The 19861-nt window shown below is 34.0% G+C and overlaps 1 long non-coding RNA gene across 1 annotated transcript in view; it reads left to right on the top strand.

The window, feature by feature from the left end:
* The window catches only part of LOC105376987 (uncharacterized), a 108868-nt gene extending 91758 nt beyond the window's left edge, over positions 1 to 17110 (top strand). The window contains exon 5 of the long non-coding RNA XR_940644.2: positions 17072 to 17110. This is a non-coding gene — a long non-coding RNA (uncharacterized LOC105376987). The remainder of the gene's footprint in view (positions 1 to 17071) is intronic.
* Positions 17111 to 19861: the final 2751 nt, after the last annotated feature.

The following is a 19861-nucleotide window of genomic DNA, read 5'->3' on the forward strand; positions in this document are numbered from 1 at the left end:
GAACTACAAATTACCATGAATCATTTGAGATACAGGGTTAGCCAGCCCATCCACCTGTATGGTGGGAGGCCTGATTTTATTAGCTCTAACCAGTCTTGATAGATGAATGTCAAGACAGCCTAGAATTCTTTTTATAAAAGAAGCCATGTGACATTACTTAGCAGGTTAGTCATTTATTCTTACCAAGTTGTCACTGGGTTTGATTTGCAGTGCAGCTGGCTAATAGAGACAACAGCAAAGGAAAAGAGGTAAAGAAACAAAAAGGTGACATGGAGGCTGTCAGCCAGAGTAGACTTAAGTGGGGGAAAGAAGATCCCCTGGCCTTTAAATTGGAAGAAATTGACAGTGGCAATATATGAGTAGAAAAGGATGAGGAGGACATATTGGGCCATGCACTCACTCCTCAGCATTCTCATCTTCAAACAGGGATCATAATGTTTTCTCTTATTATCTCTAAGGATATTTGCAAGGCTAAAATAAGGTACAGTGTTGAGAATAACTCTGCTATTCCAAGAATAAGTGATTATAAATTTCTCAGAATTGTCAACATGGCCTTTATCAATGACTCCATCATCTATGTCCTTTCTGCTCCCCATATTTCTTCCCCTTATACTTCCATTCAGGGCATCAAAAAGAAAGTGGAGAGGGGAAAAAGTGTCAGTATCCATGGGGTATAGTGGAGTAGGCCTTGTGATACCTATTTTCTTGCTTTCATCATCAGCTTTGCTGGGATGAGAGTGAAAGAAAATGGAGAAGATGAAAATCTGAAGAAGAAATGGATGTTGACAGGAACTTTTACTCACTTAAGAAATATGCATTAATCACTTACTATATGGCAGCCTCTATGCTAGACTTTAAAACTTAAAAGTAGATGGCCTAGTCCTCAACAGGATTCCTGTGTAGAGGGATAGACAATGAAACAAATAATTATTATATAATACGACTATTATCAAAGAGATTTTTGCAAGTATTTTTGGACATTTGGCACTCCTAACTCTGCCTACATCCTCAGGAAAGGAAAAATTCCTTTCCTTTCAAAGTGAAAGGGGTGATCACTTTCAAGCATGCACAGGGTTTAAGAAAAGAACGACAAGGGAATACTGGATGCAGGAAAGGTGAGGAGAAAACTTTGTAGCATCGAAGATTTGAAGTGAAAACAGCAGGACATAATTTACCAATAGCAAGGGAATCAGTTTCTTAAAGTGAGAGGAAAAACAGATACAGCCAATACAATTTGAAAGCAAGATAAAGTTTCATGTGTTTCAAGTTATCAGAAAAAAGTTTGGTCTTCAGGGGGTTCTTTTCATCTGAGCAACATTTTATTTAGGCACAAGACTTCTCTCCACTTGTCTCTTTTCTTGAAGCATCAGAGGCTTTATGACTGAGATAGAAGAACAAAAGTCTTTTGTCTTTTGATTCCTTCACATAAATAGACCATGCAAGGCACTTCATGCCATGTAAACTCACTTGTTTTCTTACTGCATTTTATAGGCCATAAGCCCTGGAATTCTCTTGCAAGTATAAAAAGGCAGAATAGGGGAAGATCAAGAAGTCATTGTTGAAAGTGAGTAGCATTAAAGGAGTGATATTTATTCTTGCATTTGTACATGTTAAATGCACTTAGGAGCCTTGTCCAGAATCTCTAATAGCTGATCACAAACTCAAGGTCCATTTCTGTATGCAGGAAATAGATGTATTCATGTTGTGTATAGAACTTTTTTTTAGAATCTTATAAGTTTGCCCATTTATATTATCTTAATATATTACTTCTCTGTAAAAATCAGAAGACCTGGTTTCTAGGTGCACATTTCTGCATAAAAAATGGACAGAGAATGAGGAGCTATCACTTTCTTCAGTTTACCATATCTCCATCTCTCTCTGTTTCTTATACCTGACTAGATTCTTCCATTTTCTTTTTTTACCTAACTCCAATAGAATTGTAATTTATGAATCTTTCTATAAATAAAACTATTTCGTATATAACTCCTTTGATTTTGGTGATATATCTTATTTTGGGTTTACCCAAATGCAACATCCAATGGTATGCTGGTGTCAGATCATACCAGTTTGTATATCTTTTTCCAATTCCTTGTTCAGTAACTCCATTTTGGCAGTTTGAAATTGTCCATGATAGGAATATTTGCAAAACAAAAATTAAGAAATGTTATAAACCATTACTTTTTATGTCCCTGAAAGCCTGTTGTTAAACATGTACCAGGACCCCACTAATAACATCTGTACTTAATATGTCACAATTCAGCATGAAAACCTCTGAATATCCTTCCATTTCCAAACTTACTGAAATTCCACTTCACCAGAATGATTCCATGCAGCTTTCTCTGAAATAGTGATTGCCCTTAATTTATTTTTACCATCAAAAGAGGCCATCTTTCCTTTATCTGTTATATTTGTTCTTCCAAAAATAAATATATGGTATTGTTATATAAGTATTTTATTGTCTTTCTATTATCTGAAGGCTCAAGAAGAAAAAAAATTACGCTGGAAAACGCAAGTGTGTTCTGCTATCATGATACTATGTTTGACATTGAAATAATAATACTCTGTTGGGTTAACATGCCCTCTTTAGATGGCAGTAATAAAGAATTCAAGTTTAACTGTCAATGAATGAAATAAGGTCTATTCAACCTAGCAAAAGAGTGAGAGTCAGTTTAAATGCCTGAATTTTAATATTATTTGTGTCATTCATTCCTAAATCTCAGGCCTCTGAAACGGTCCCCTTTTCTATTGTCTAATTCAATAAATAGGTAATATTGCCTCCTATTTACTACAAAGAGATATGGTAGAACACCATTAAGGCAACTGAATTTTTGAGAAGACAGGTGCCTTATAAGTAGCAAAGATTATTATTCGTATTCAGGAATGTTGCCAACTCCCACAGATTTCCTTGTGATTATCTGCCATTTTCCAGTAACATTTTAACATTTGATGCCATTTAATCCTAAAAGAGATATATTAAACTAGAAAAAAAGAAAAGAAAAATAAACACTTGGAAATACATACACATTGTATTCTATCATGTCATGTAATTTAAAATTCAGAACAAGAGTGGCATAATTTGAGCCTATTTAAGGATACCCTGTCATTTAGCATAAAATAAGAACTGTAGGAAACAGGGGAGGAAAGCCTAAGACAACATTTCTACAACTACAATTTGATCCTTTACATCTCAATATTATACCACTGAAACATGCTAAATATGCTAATTCCTGGGTTAAAACAAGTTATTTTGCATGTAATATGGATTGGATTCCATCTTCTTAAAGATCTGTTATTATCTGCTTAATCTGTTTATTGTGACACACATACGCAGACATACACACGTATCCACACATACATGTGTCTCCTCTGCAACAAGGAATATACAAAAACAGGTTATTTATGGTATCTCATTGATTTTGATGACCATTCTATGTGCTTTATATAATTAATTCTATTTTATAGGTGATAGAATTATAGCTCAGAAATGTTCAGACTTTGTTTTATGTGAGATACTCAAATACAGAAATGTCATGCACCAAAACACTTTCTTAACTATGTCATGGCTTGGAACACAATCCTCCCAATGATAGTACCTTGGTATGCTGAGTACTTTGAACTGTATACTAGAAGAGTCTCAGAAGCAAGGTGTCTCAGCCTCTTTTTTTCTCCCAAGACAAGTCACAGAAGACAAAATTCCTCTTGCCCAAGGTCCACAGAAACTAGAACTCTTCTTCCCAAAGCAAGCCATAAAACCTAAAATGGTCACTCTAAAATTCTTCCTTCTGTGCTGAAGACTTTCACGTGACAAGTGTTCTACCCTATACCCAGAGCAAAAGAAAGCTACACAGAGGGGCCAAGAAGAATCTAAACGGCCTTTCTGAAGGCTCCTATGGCACATAAAACCTTGATTAAATAAATATGTTGCTGTTTTCTCTTGTTAAGCTGTCTTTTGTTATATGAGTGTTGGCCATGACATTTGTGATGAGTGAGGAAAGGTATCATATCTTTCTGCCCCTACAACCATTATGCTACATTATCTTTCTCCTAGAATTTTGTTTTAAGAAGATGGCTCATGAAGAAATGTTTTCTGTGATTTAATATAATATGCTTGGAAAATTATACATATAATCCCTTCACCCTTGGATAATCAGAAATAATATTAACATTAAAAGCTATGTAAAATTCTGTAATTTACTTAAAACCTGTTTATCTTTGTATAATTCACCATATTCTAGACTTATGTGACTTTCAAATATTTATTGAAGAACATTATCAACTTATGATGCAGCTTGTACTGCATAGAACATAACTGAATATGATGAGCTACAGAAAATATCATGGTCCTACATTTCCCTGCTTTTTCTTAATCAGTTTATAATTTTACTAAAATACCTGCTTGTTTGCTCATAAAAGTTTTTAAATTTACTGTGGATTCTAAATAGAATTTACAGAGATAATGCCTTAGTGTTAAGTCTGTTGTGAAAAAGATAATCAACTGCTGATCTGGAGAATGCCAAATCACTAGTAATTTATAGGTATCAATAAGTAAATTTATAGGTATCTAAATACATCTAGATTTTTGACTCCATAAAGGCATATTATTGGGCGAGAATTGCTTTTTTATTTTTATTTTTTTACTTCGCCATTTTCTAACTTACTAGATCATAAGTTCCATGAGGGAAGAGACTATGTTATCTTATTCACTAGAGTATATCCAGTATCATTCCTGGAACATTAAAAGTGACCAAATAAATATTTGTTGAATAAAGGTCTTAAATGACTAGAAAGCTGAAAAAAATTTTAATGGAACTTATTCTCAAAACTAATCTCTGCCATTAGAATCCTGGATAGTGCTTGTCCTTGGGGTGGGACGGGGATCAGTGGCTGGAAGGAAATGAATGGGGACTTCTGGGGTTTTTGCAGTGTTTGCTGTCTGGCCTTTGTGTTGGTTATTCGAGGGTGCTCAATGTATGAAAATCCATCAGGCTGCACATTTTTCTGTATGTTTATTGTACTCCAATAATATTCAGGGAAATCTATAAGATTCTAAAGTGACCTATGTTTTGCTCCATTTCTTCAGTCCATTCTAAATTTATCAGGTCTTATCACTACTTGGCAACAAGAATTCATCATCAAAAATTGATGATTATAATTTCATTTGTGTGAGCCATCCCTAGATGGACCTTAAAAGGCAAAATATACTATAATTGCCGAAGTCTTGGGCTTTCTATCCCATCTTAGAAAGGTTTTTTGATTGTATATTAGGTTGGTGCAAAAGTAATTGCGGTTTTTGCCATTACTTTCAATGGCAAAAACCACAATTGCTTTTGCACCAAATGCTTCTCTAAGTGCTGGAGATGAGATTAAAAGCCTATAATAGACAAAGAAAGTAACCTATATTGTTATTAGATTTGAACTCTGTGGTTTACATGCATCACCTAATTTAGTCCATCCAACAGTCTGAGGTGGGTATTGATATAGTTTGAATGTTCCCTCCAAATCTCATGTTGAAATGTAATCCCCAGTGTTCGAGATGGGGCCTGTTGGAAGGTGATTGGATCATGGGGGGTGATTTCCCATGAACGGTTTAGCGCCGTCCCCTTGGTGCTGTCCTCATGATAGTGAGTGGGTTCTCACAAGATCTCTTTGTTTAAAAGTGTGTGGCACTTCCCTCCTTGCTCGCCCTTGCTTCCACTTTTGCCATGCAAGTCACCTGCACCTTGTTTGCCTTCTGCCATGATTATAAGCTTCCTGAGGCCTCGCCATAAGCTGAGCAAATGTTAGCACCATGCTTCCTGTAAAGCCAGCAGACCTTTGGGCCAATTCAACTTCTTTTCTCCGTAAATTACCCAACTTCAGGAGTTTCTTTATAGCAATGCAAGAATGGCCTAACACAAGTATTGCCTGTATTATAGATGGGGCTAGTAAGGCCCAAACTACTAAGCTAATTGGTCCAAATTCATAGGGCAAACATAAAATTGAACCCAGACTGTCTAGTTAAGTCTAAACCTTTTCTGAATTCTGTACTACCATGGGATTAACTTTTCTCTAGTGAGAGAACTATCTGTCTTGGTTTAAAAAGAAATAAAACAAAACAAAGAAAAACATCCATACTTCATCATAGACAAATTGGACTCCAATATACCATAATCCTAAGATTTCAATTTGCTTTCAATACCAATGTTTAACATCCATGAATTCCATGGATTTTACTTTTTCTAAACTGTTTTAGTGACCCTTAATAAAAATAAGCATACATGTTTGTGTGAGCTTCTGAATGTGTTGATATAAACACAAATAATATATATGCATGTAAATATAAAATAGAGATAATATATTCATAATTATTAGTCAATAAGTATATATTCTGTGAATTTTTTGAAATGACATTTAATCTTCCAAATTATACATAAAAAATTTGGTGGAACATTCAACATCTCATTCTCTGTTTAACAATTACAGTAGCATGTATTCGATTTAATATATGTAAAATTTTGTTTGCCAGAATGGTACAATAAGTTTGGAAGAGAAGTAGGTTACATAGAACGTACTTAACTTCACATTTGGCCCAAACAGAAAGTGGAGCGATTAAAAAAAGAGAAAAATTTTAATTTCCTTATAATATATTTTGTTAAGGCCTTATAAATGCAAGAGATTTTATCAGGAAAAATCTAAAAGTAACTTATTTAGATTGTGTTTTGGATGCCTTGCAAATGTGTAGCAGAAATCCAAAACTACTTGGTGCAAGTTTTCTACTTTTCTTTTCTTTTTAAAAAATATTGTCATTTACATGTTAGGTAATATCACAAAAATTGGGAGAAATCAGTCAACTCCAAAAGGTTCATTTAGTTTCTGACAATATTTCTCACACTTGCAGTGAACTATGCAGAAAAAGTGCTTTGATTAGAATGCGCCGTTAATCATTTAGGTGAAAGAAAAGGGGCCTTTCATTTTCAATGAGCAGAAAAACAGTGGTAAATGAAGACAAAGTCAGACGATGATGAGTAGTTTACTTATCTCCTAGAATAAAGTCTGATTTGAAAAAAAAAGTTTTAATTTCAGGGACACTCATTTATGATTATTGAAGCCATTTATTCTGTGTGGCACACAAATATATCATTTGTCTAAATGTATTGGGTGGTTTTTTTTTTATTTACCCTTGGTTTTTTTTTTTCCATTGTTCAAAGAGAATGTGATGCTTTTAAATCTAAAAAAAAAAAGAATTAATGGAAATTTTGGATATTCTGTTTCTCCAAAGGACTCTTCAGAGGTAATTTGCCTGCTGCCAATAGAGAAAATTGTCATAGTCATTATGTGAAAGGTGAAAAACCTGAATACTTAATGGCAAAAAAAAAAAAAAAAACCCAAATGCTATTTAAATAGAATTCTAAGTTTAGCCTTTGAGTGGAGAGGATTAGGATTGAAATGAATACATAAGCAGTGATAGGTCAGGTAGTTCTTAGAAGATTATAGGAGTACCCATTACAAAAAGAGATTTGATTTGAGTATCAGTCAGGATCCAGTCAGGAGATAGAAACCATTGAGTAAATTGAATGGGAAAATTTAACGCAAAGATTTATTATATGGCCACAGAAATTAACTACTAATTTCTTCACTAGCAGGGGTCAAGGAAACTGTGGGATAATGAAAACTCTGGGGGTAAAGAAAACTCTAGGGATAAAGAAAACTCTATGGTAAAGAAAACTCTAAAGAATTCAAGAATAGGGATCTTAGGAAACAGCCATGACCTCTAGGGCTAAGACATAAGTACTAAGAAAGAAATACATTTGGAAGACCTACCCCAACCCCTAACCATGGTTGAGATTCAAATCTTGTTTAAAAAGGTGGCTTTTGCACACTGAATAGCAGAGAATTTTGCTGGAGGTGCTGTAGGCTAGGGCTACAAGGCAGAAAACTGGCTGGTAGGGTGCTGGTGAGAGCCACTGAAAAGCTACTCTTACAGGCACCACTAAAACTCACCAGGAAACAACACTCTGGGAACCATTGAAATTCGTTTGCAGATGAGTGCCAGTGTCATTTATAGGTAAGTGCCAGTGAGTGTCTTGCACATCAGCCAAGTGCTGCAGGAGGAGGAAGAATAAAGGACACTAGTACCAGAAATAAAGTCATTTCCTCCTCCTGCAGGGTCTCTCCAGTGCCATCTAAGAAAGCTTAACATTGTTCCAGCTGCAAAGAAGAATATTTACAAGGTCCATTGAGAGTATCACAGAGCAGGGTAAAAATGCATAGGTTTGGAGATAAGACGAAATAAATCAGTAACTTGCATAAGCTTCAAGTATGAGAATACATTTGCATATTTGTTTGCACATGCAAATAAGTATAACATATGGACTCTACAAAAGTACTTCAAACTACTAAAATTAAGATTGTCAATTCTAACTATAGATGAGTAAGATTACATCTTCTCCAAAACTTTAATCTAATTTATTTGGCAAATATTTACTGAGCTAATTATGTATTTAGTCCAAGTTATCTGAGGCATATAAGTAAAAAATGCCTCCCTAAACCAACATACTTATTCAATATTCTTGTAAATGCTTTCAAAATCCACTAAGTTGGACAAGTTAATAAACTAGAAATTATTATTAAAACACAGCCTCAATCACAATATGAAAACAACAAACAAACACTGTCAATTTTTTAAAAACCCTACATATTTCTTTAGTAATTAATTCTTTTCTGTCTCCAACAGAACAAGACATCATTATCTTTTTCCTATAAAATTTCAATAGGTTATCAAGTGATTTTTTAAAATTTCAAATATCATCCATTTCTGTGTATTCTTTCTTCCTTTGTAAAAAAAGATATTTTAAAATTGTGAAATATGTTTTATCTATAGAAGTTTTAACACACATTATAACACATATTATAATTAATATATAATAATAGTACCAAATATGTGCATATACTATAAAAAATAATAAAATGAACACCAACGTAACTATCATGCATTACACCATTACGAACACCGTTGAACGGCTCTGAGTAACCCTGCCAAAATTGTCCTCCTCGGCCACCACTCTTGCCAGAAGTGACCACTTTTTAGACTGTTGTGTTAATAACCATTGCAATAGATTACATATATCTGTATCTCTGAACAAGAAATTGCTCAGCTGTATTTTTTTTTTTTTTTTCGGAGAAGGGGTCTTGCTCTGTTGCCCAGGCTGGAGTGCAGTGGCATGAACATATTAATAGTTCACTGTAGCCTGAAACTCCCCGGCTCAAGTGATCCTCCAGTCTCAGCATCTCAAGTAGCTGGGACTACAAGCATGCGCTACCACACCTGGCTAATTTTTTCAGCTGCGTTTTTAAAAACTTTATATAAAGTAAAATCATGAGATCATACTCTATAACAATAGCATTTTGTTAGTTAAACTTTTGTTGATAAAGTTACTAAAAATGATTTTCATTGGCATATGATTTTCTCTTGTGACTATTCCACGCGTCCTGTGTTCACTTTACTGCTGAAGGACTTCAAGTTCTTTCTAGTTTTGTTTTGTTTTTTCTTCTGTTAAAAATAACAGTGTAACAAATGTTGTGTAATAGCTTCTTTTTGACAAATGATGGATTACAGATTCAGCACATTTTCAATCAACAGTATATAGGATTATCATTGCTTTACATATTTATGAACACTAAGAATGTCTGAATTTTTAATTTTTGCTAACTTTGTGTCTATGAATTGGTAACTTATTGAGTATTATTCTGAATTATTCTCATTACTAATGAGGTTGCCCACTATTCCATATGTTTAATGGCAAATTTATATTTTTTCTTTTGTGAAGAGGTTTTTCAAGTCCTTCACCCATCTGAAAAATTAAATTTCTATCTCATCTTACTGGTGTGTAGCAATCATTTCTAAATTCTGGAAAGAAATATTGTTTCAGGTACATGTGTTGCAAATGTCTTCTCCCATTAAATGGCTCTTCTTTATATTATTTTGATGCTGTACTTTAATTAGCAGACATTCTTTTTTTTGGTGGGTGGGCAAGGTCTCATCCTGTCACCCAGGCTGGAGTGCAGTGGCTTGATCTCAGCTCACTGCAACCCCTGCCTCCCAGGCACAAGGCATCCTCCCACCTCAGCCTCCTGAGTAGGTGGGACTACAGCCGCACACCACCACACTCACCTAATTTTGTATTTTTATGTAGAGATGCAGTTTTGCCATGTTGCCCAGGCTGGTCTCAGAACTCCCAGGCTCAAGTGATCCACTCATCTCGGCCTCCCAAAGTGCACAGATTACAGGTGTGAGCCGCTGTGCACAGCCAGGCATTCATAATTTTAATGTAGTAAATTTTCTCAATTTTTTTCTTTGGGTACTTCATGCCTTTTATTTCTTGTTTAGGAAATCCTACTCTCTCTCTCTCTCTCTCTCTCTCTATATATATATATAAATATATATATAAATATATGTATAAATATATGTATAAATATATGTATAAATATATATATAAATATATAAATATATATAAAAATATATAAATATATATACATATATATATAAATATATATAAAATATATAAATATATACATATATATAAATATATATAAATATATATAAATATAAATATATAAAAATATATATTTAAATATAAATATATAAAAATATATATTTAAATATAAATATATAAAAATATATATTTAAATATAAATATATAAATATATATATTTAAATATAAATATATAAATATATATATTTAAATATAAATATATAAATATATATAAATATATATTTAAATATAAATATATAAATATAAATATATAAATATATATAAATATATATTTAAATATAAATATATAAATATATATAAATATATAAAAATATATATTTATATATAAATATATAAATATATATTTATATATATTTATATATAAATATATAAATATATATAAATATATATTGATATATATATAAATATATATAAATATATATTTATATATATATATTTATATATAAATATGTAAATATATAAATATATATTGATATATAAAATATATATTAATATATATATAAATATACATATTTATACATATATATATTTTTTTGAGATGAAGTCTTGCTCTGTCACCCAGGCTGGAGTGCAGTGGCGCCATCTCGGCTCACTGCAAGCTCTGCCTCTCAGGTTCACGCCATTCTCCTGCCTCAGCCTCCCGTGTAGCTGGGACTACAGGCGCCTGCCACCATGCCCAACTAATTTTTTATATTTTTAGTAGAGACAATGTTTCACTGTAGTAGCCAGGATGGTCTCGATCCCCTAACCTCGTGATCCGCCTGCCTCAGCCTCCCAGAGTGCTGGGATCACAGACTTGAGCCACTGCGCCTGGACAGAAATCCTAAAATATTTAAAGTCTACCCCAAATTCTCTATTTTCTTCTAAAAGTCTAAAAAATCTACTTTTTAAATTTAAATCTTTGATGAAGCTGAAATTGAATTCTGTATATATTAGAAATATTTTATAACTTTCCCTTCCATGTACATAACAAATTGTTCCAACACTATATTTTGAATATTTTAGCATTTTCCTGCTGATTGGCATTGTCAGCCATATTATAAAACATGTTGCCATGTTTGAATCTTTTTCTGGGCTCTCTCCGTCCCTTTGATCTATTCCATACTTATACCACAACTATTTTAATTAATATCAAAAAAATCTTACCTGTTCATTCTCTACAGCAGTGTTTTGGCTTCTCTTAGCTCTTTGCTATTCCTTAAATCTTTTAGAGTCAGTTCTTTGAATTATACATTACATTTTGCTTTGCAATTTCATCAAATCTATAGATCGATTTGAGGAAAATTAGCAATTTTGTTATATTGGGTTTTTACTCCAAAATGTCGTATGTTTTAAATGACTTAGTAAAGTTACATGTATTTTACCTCAAGGTCTTGCATATTTTTGTTATGTTTATTCATTTAATATGGATTTTGTTTCACTATTATAAATGGCATATTTGAATTTCATTTCCTAGTGTTTGATAATATATAAAGATAAAATGATTTTTATATTAATTTTGTATTCAGCAAAGTTTCTAAACTCTTGCATTATTTTAAATTTTTTTTCTTTTTTTTAGACGGAGTCTCACTCTTGTCACACAGGCTGGAGTGCAGTGGCATGATCTTGGCTCACTGCAACCTCCCCCTTCCAGGTTCAAGCGATTCTCCTGCCTCAGCCTCCTGAGTAACTGGGATTACAGGTGCCCACCACCACATCCAGCTAATTTTTGTACTTTCTGTAAAGATGGGGTTTCGCCACGTTGGCCAGGCTGGTCTCGAACTCCTGACCTCAGGTGATCCGCCAGCCTCCACCTCCCAAAGTGCTGGGATTACAGGTGTGAGCCACCACACCTGGCCTATTTTAAGTTTATCTGTAGATTCCTTTGGGCTTCTATATTGACAAGCACATCATTTGCAAATAATGACAGTCTTGCTTCTTCCTTTCCAAGTATTCAAGTTGTGTATTTCTTTTTCTTTTCTTATTGTACAGGCTAGTACCTTCCATAAAATGTTGGATGAAAATAGCTATAGTGGTGGCTTGCCGATTTTGTCGTTTTTTTGACAAGGTCACATTCTGTGATCCAGGCTAGAGTGCAGTGGTGCCATTATAGCTCACTGAACCTCCTGGGCTCAAGCAGTCCTTTCGCCTCAGCCGTCTGAGTAGCTTGGACTACAATTGGACTACAAGAACATACCACTGCTGCTGTTTTTTATTTTTTATTTTTTTGTATAGATGAGATCTCACTAAATTGTCCAGGCTGATCTGGAACTCCTGAGCTCAAGTAATCCTCCCCCCTTGGCCTCCAAAAGCGCTAGAATTATAGGCATGAGCCACCATAACCATCGTTGTTTATTATTTTAATGGAAAATTTTTAGTTTTCAACACTGCATGTATTATCTTTTTGTAGATTGTCGTTAAACAAGTGTCTATTTATTTGCTCACATTGAGGCCCTTGTTTATTGCTTTTAGTTCTGTATTTCAATTCATTTAGAATATGAAAACAGATATTTTATATTCTACATCTGATAATTCCAACATCTGCAGTATTTGATTTTCTGATTGTTCAGTTCATTATTCCTGTTGATTTTGGAGTGGCTTATTTCCCCATGTGTTTCGTGATTATATTTCATTATGAATTTTGGTTCTATGGAAGGTGGCCTGCAGTCACATTTTTCAGTGTGATTTTCCTGGGAGGAGCTGAGAATGTTTCTGGTAAGCTATGGGATAATTACAACCCAAATTTCAACTTGAGTTTTTTAGATAGTGTAGATTTTAGTCACATATTTTGGTCATCTTAAGGATTCTCAGGGGAGAAATATTTTTCTATCTGTAGCCACACATCCAAAGGGAAGAGATGTTAGTATACCTCAAATGTAGTAGATTTTTTTTTTCTAGTTCATCCTTCAAGGATTCTGTCTTTATGTAGGTATTCCAATGATTCCCCACTGTGCTTAGATATACTGACCTGTGCATGGATCTCTAAGACTCACCATCAGGGTGTTAAGAATTGGCCTGTATCTTTAAGGACAAATGGGGTTCTCGATTTCATTTTCTCGTATGAATTTGCATTTCTATTTTAGCATTGGAGAAAGTCTCTTACTTTCTCATAAGCTCAGACATGCTTTAAAAAGTTTTAAATAAGTTATAAAGCAATTTAGTTCCCTGAACCAGGAGGAATTTTTCTATGGTTAACTAGTTTGTCATATTACTAGACATGAAATTCTCCCTCTCAAAACAGTTAGAATGAGTCTATGAAGATGAAAATCTGATATGCCACATGAGTTCCCTGCTTAAAATCCCTCGGTGACTTCACATTGTTCATGTTGTCCTCATTCTGAGTTATCTACTTCCTACCCATGTAACCTTTGATCACGATTCCTGCATTCTCTCTCTTTTTGAACCACTCTGGTCTTCTATTGGTGTCTTGATTGTGACTTGCTTTTTCCTACATCAGGTCCTTCACATATACGCTTCATGAATGTGATTCCTCTCTTCCGTATTAATCTAGATATCTTCTATTTACCCTTTAGAGTTCAATTGAATGTTAGTTCCCTGTTATATGACTTCATTATTATCTGTCATTCTTCCTAAGTAATTAATGATTGTGTATATTTTAAGAATATAAGCTCCATGATGGAAGACTCTATATTTGCTTTTTTCATGCTGCATTTCTAACATCTCATACAATTTTCTGCAGATGCTAAGCAGTGAATAATTTTTGAAAGAAATAGTTTGAGCCTGATCTAGGGATCATTAGTTTTCAAATTTAAGATAAACCAATATCATACGTCATATAGAGTAACAAGGATTACGCCTTAAATTAGACAGAATAGTCATGAAGAAAATAAAAAATAGTATTTAAAAAAACAAAGAATTGGGGCATGAATAGAATTAGTAATGTCACAATGTGAAAGTGAACAATATGAAGATAGAATTTGGCCCAATGGTTGTCTTTGGTAGTGTGAACATGGGGGATACATATATTTTTATATCTTATTTACTCTCCCAAATAATTTAATAGGCATGTTACATTAATTTAAAAAGAAATCAGTCATTTCATTTTCCTCCAGAAAATATTACACTGTATCTAAACTGTATGTGTGTATGTTTATATATGTATATATTTTTTAAAAATGTATACCCTAAAACAAGGTTCCTCAATCAATTTATTGGATGTAGCTTATTGTCTCACTAGATTTGGTCATAAAGTTCTTATGTAATTTATAAAAATTCTTCTTGGCATAATGGCAAATTTTTTTCTGAGTTAGTAAAATTGGAGAATAACTCTTTGATGTTTATACTCAAATATTTCTATATGGTATAAAGTTGTGATAGAAAGAAATTATAGGTCAGGCACAGAGGCTCATGCCTCCCAGCACTTTGGGAGGCTGAGGCGAGTAGATCGCCTGAGGTCAGGAGTTTTAGACTAGCCTAGCCAACATGGTGAAACCCCACCTCTACTAAAAAATACAAAAATTAGCATGTGCCTGTAATCCCAGCTACTCTAGAGGCTGAGGTAGGAGAATCGCTTGAACCCGGGATGTGGAAGTTGCAGTGAGTTGAGATGGTGCCACTGCACTCCAGCCTGGGCCACAGAGCGAGAGTTTGACACTCTCTCTCTCTCTCTCTCTCTCTCTCTCTCTCTCTCTCTATATATATATATATATATATATATACACACACACATATATATATGCTTTTCTGACCCAAAGGTGAGATTTATACACACATATATATGTATGTGTGTATATATATGTGTGGTGTGTATATATATATACACACACACACATATATATATATGTATATATATCTCACCTTTGGGTCAGAAAAATCTGAGTTCCTATAGCCTATCTTCCTGTGTTTAGTTCAGCTCAACAAATACCTCTTGAGGACTTTTTTTCTGGTGCTACTTGCTGCAGGAAAACATAAGTAAGTTACAATTTTTGTTTTAATTGAAATAAATAGTTTCTGAAATAGAAGTATAAACAAAGCTCCATATTACAAGAAAGATAACTTGGTTTACTGAGAGGTTGGGTGGTCATGCAACTCTTCATAGTCATACTAAAATATAATTTCATTATTTTACATGACTCTGTATGCATTGATTCAGATTGAAGTTCTTTCTGGCATTCGTATCCTGAAGCTGGGAGTACATTTCTTATAGCTACGTTTCCTCCTTATGACCTCATTTGCAGCAGCAAGTCAACCAAAAAAAAAAAAAAACTATACCCAGCACTCTCTAGTTTGGAAGACGCGTTTTTGAAAATGAGAACCCCAACTGAATTAGTGCTACATAACACTATTATAGCAGAGATTTGTTCAGCTATAGCAGATATTTGTCCTCAGAATTATCTTGTCCAGTTATCTTCTATTCTCTTTAAGACTCTAACGTCATAACCTGCCTGCCATAAGAGTGTCTTTTAGCTCGTTTCATAAAATTGATCAGTTTATGGTGCCTTCATAAAGTCAGAAAATGTCCACCTATTCCTAAGTGCTGGGATAGATTTTATTATTTATTTCCTTACTAATTGACTTACAGGCCACTTCCGTCACCATAAAACTAGCATATTAATGTTCAGCATTATGTGATTGCCTTATTTACCTGAGTGAGCTCCAAAGCTTTTATTTGCACAGTGCTATGTTATAGAGATAGTTTGTTCCCACCAAACTCATGTTGAATTTGATCCCCAATGTGATGGTATCGGGAGGTGGGCCTAAAGAAAGGTGTGTGGGCTGTTAGGATGGATTCCTAATCAATGACTTGGTGACATGCTGTTCTCATACTAGGAAGTTACTTCTTGCTCTGGTGAGACTGGATTAGTTCTTGTGAGAGTGGATTCCTTCCTGCATAGGTAGGTTGTTACAATGCAGGATGCCTCTCGGATTTTGCTTCTTCATACATGCCCATTTCCCCTTTGACCTTCCCCCATGTTATGACACAGCACAAAAGCCCTCATCAGAAGTTGCATAGGCACTGGCACCATTCTTGAATTTCCCAGCCTGCAGAACCATGATCTAAATAAGCTACTTTTCTTTATAAATTACCCAGCCTCAGATATTCTGTTACAGCAACACAAAACAGACTAAGACACATGTTTTTGTCATACATTAAGGGTTCAAAACAGTTTGATAGAACACAAAATAAAGAGGGGCTGCAGTAGAGTGACATATGTTGCAGAAACAATTTAATTTACAACAGAATGGTAGAATTTCTTTTCACTGATTGAGAAAAAATATATCACTCAGAGTACATGAAGAAAATGCACTGTGTTGAAAAAGAATTTATTTATATTTAAAGTAAAGCTTGAAAAAATGAATAGAATTATAACAAATCAGCATTACATGAAGGCAGGGTAAATGGAGTATGTATGTATATTTTATATAGATCCAGAAATTGAAGGAGGATTGAAATCATTTATCATGTGCTAAGTCACTTCATGTGTATTTTTTTCCCTCATCCTTCTCATGAAATTCTACAGTGGGGACATTATTTCCAAATAAGCTATACCATTGATTAGAGAGATTACAAAGTATACTAAAGATTATTTTCTTCGCAGGTAAAAAACTATCAGGACTCAAAACAAGGCCTGTCCAATCCCTGATGGTATGCTTTCTTCTGTAACCTGAGATGTTTTCCATTTATTATTACTATTAAATAGAATTATCATGGGAAGCATTGATTTCAAGTGTGGGTTTGGTATATTTTGAATGCTCAATGAATGTTAAATGTCATTTTTGGTGCTTTTATATTGTGTTCTCATAAAATGAGAATTTTCTAGAAAAAGAGAAATAACCAATGAAAAGACAGCAGGATCACCACAACTAGTTGGTTTCTACCTACCTCCTGTGTTTCTTTTTTATATTATTATTATTTTGATTTTACTTTAAGTTCTGGGATACATGTGCAGAACGTGCAGGTTTGTTACATTGGTATACACGTGCCATGGTGGTTTGCTGCACCCATCAACCCGTCATCTACATTAGGTATTTCTCCTAATGCTATCCCTCCCCTAGTCCCCCACCCTTCCACAGGCCCTGGTGTGTGATATTCCCTTCCTTGCATTAGGAGGGATACCTATTAGCGTTAGGAGAAATACCTAATGTTGATGACGGGTTGATGGGTGCAGCAAACCACCATGGGACATGTATGCCTATGTAACAAACCTGCATGTCCTGCACATATATTCCAGAACTTAAAGTATAAAAAAGAAAGTTTAATTTAATAATAAATTTTATGTAAAAGAACATATTCACAATACAATTTTAACATGTAATACATATATAAATACTAGTGATAGATTTTACATTCTTTTCTTGTAATAAGTACATAATATCTGGTGTATATTTTAAACTTGCAATGCATTCAGTTCAGACTACCTTTATTTCACGTGTCCAATAGCCACTAGCTAATGATTCTTATATTGGATAGAGCATCTTAGAGAATAAATAAATGGCAAAGGTTTTCTTTATTCAAAAGGACTTCATGTACTGATATTACAACAATATTTCTGTGGTCTGCTCACAATCATGTTTATGTTGCCTTATTAATCTTATATACTAGAATATACTATTTAATAGTAGTATATGATTGCATATTCCAGCTTGGTTTATGTCTTCATCATATATTTATTTGTTTTTGCAACTAAAACTTGAATATAACTGCCTGGAAAATCAAGCACAAACTGCAACATTTTGCAGTAGTTCAATAGTCATAATCAGTAACATTCATCAAAAAGAAAAAGATATGCTCTTGAACATTTTTTGAGTTCTCCTAAAAGACATATAAAAGTAAGCAAGGTCTGCAACTGAAATAAGAATTTATGAATAATCATTCATTTCAGAAATAAACTGTTTAACTACTTTTTAGAAGGAATTTCAGGACAAGGGAATAATGCATTTGAGGTCTCCTAACATTTAGAAAATGTAATCATTTTGCCTATACAAATAAAACAAATGGCTAAAGCCAAATAGTATTCTGTACTGAATTTTATTTTCTTTGGTCTTCTTTACTTTATCTATCATTATCTTACTCATCTCTTGACATATTGGCCTGGTAGTCAAAAAATCTAACCACTTCCTCCCACCTCCATGTCTACCATCCTTTTCTGAGCCACCATCATTTTCTGTCTGGAGTACTGAAATAGCCCCTTGAACACTCCCTCCTTCTATCTGTGATTCTCTACCATCTATTCTGAACATAACATCCAAAAAAACACTCTTTAAAATATGTCAGATTATGTAATTTCTCTGCTAGGACTCATCAATAGCTTTCACATTCTCTCCGAGAGTAAACAACAGCCCACCAAGCTGTCCATGCCCCAGCCCCTCCATTACCTGAGACTTCAGCTCCTGCAATTTCTCCCAACTGTCACCATCCTCCAATCACACAAGTCTCATTGGTGTTTTTGAACAAATCTACAAACTCCATCTTTGGATTGTATGTTCTAGCTATTCCCCCTTCCTGGAATGCTCTTTCTCTAATATCTACATGGCTATTTCTCAACTTCCTCAATTTTTTCCTTACTTTCACATTTTCAGTGAAGTCTGCCTTGACCACCATTTTTTTAATTGCAAACTGACTCTATCCTTTCACCCAACGCACATTCCTAATCCCACTTTCCTCCCTTTGTCTACCTCTATCTCTCTGTCTCTGGCTCTCTCTTTTATAACACTTGTCATCTCACATGCTATATAATTTACTAGTTGATTATATCAATTTTATTTTCTGCTTCAGTACATTAGAATGTAAACTCCACCAGGGTAGGGATATTTGTTTTCTTTTAATATCCCCTGCAAGTTAATGGATGAGTTTTTATTTTTGTGCTTCCATATGGTAGAATATTAAATTTTAGCCTTTATTCCTCACACTTCATCTTCCTTTATCCTGCTTTATACTTACTGTGTATCACTTATATATTGTTTATCACCCTTTAAGAGGCTGTTTACTCTAGTTAGCCATTTTGTTTAATGTTCCTGCTCTCAGCTGAATACATGTTCCCTGGCAGCTTTATTCCGAAAAAAAAAAAAAAAAAAAAGGAATTTGTCTGCTTTGTTCACTGCCGCATCTCCATACCTAACAAAATGTAGAGGTGCCATGGTAGATATTCAATGTATACTCGTTGAATGTATAAATGAGTTCGAGGCTAGCAATTTCATACTTCAGTGAGGTAACTGGTGCATTTGAACTGCTGATTAATATCAAGCAACTTTCACTTCCGTGTGAAATCCAGAAGATGTGCACTTCATGGTCCATTCTATGTCATTCATTATATTCTTACCAATGAGTACTTGACCTTTCACCATAACTGTACATACATACACTCGGCAATGAACATTAAGGAAAAAAT

This window comes from Homo sapiens, chromosome 3 (genome assembly GCF_000001405.40).
Source record: "Homo sapiens chromosome 3, GRCh38.p14 Primary Assembly".
NCBI classification, from domain to species: domain Eukaryota; kingdom Metazoa; phylum Chordata; class Mammalia; order Primates; family Hominidae; genus Homo; species Homo sapiens.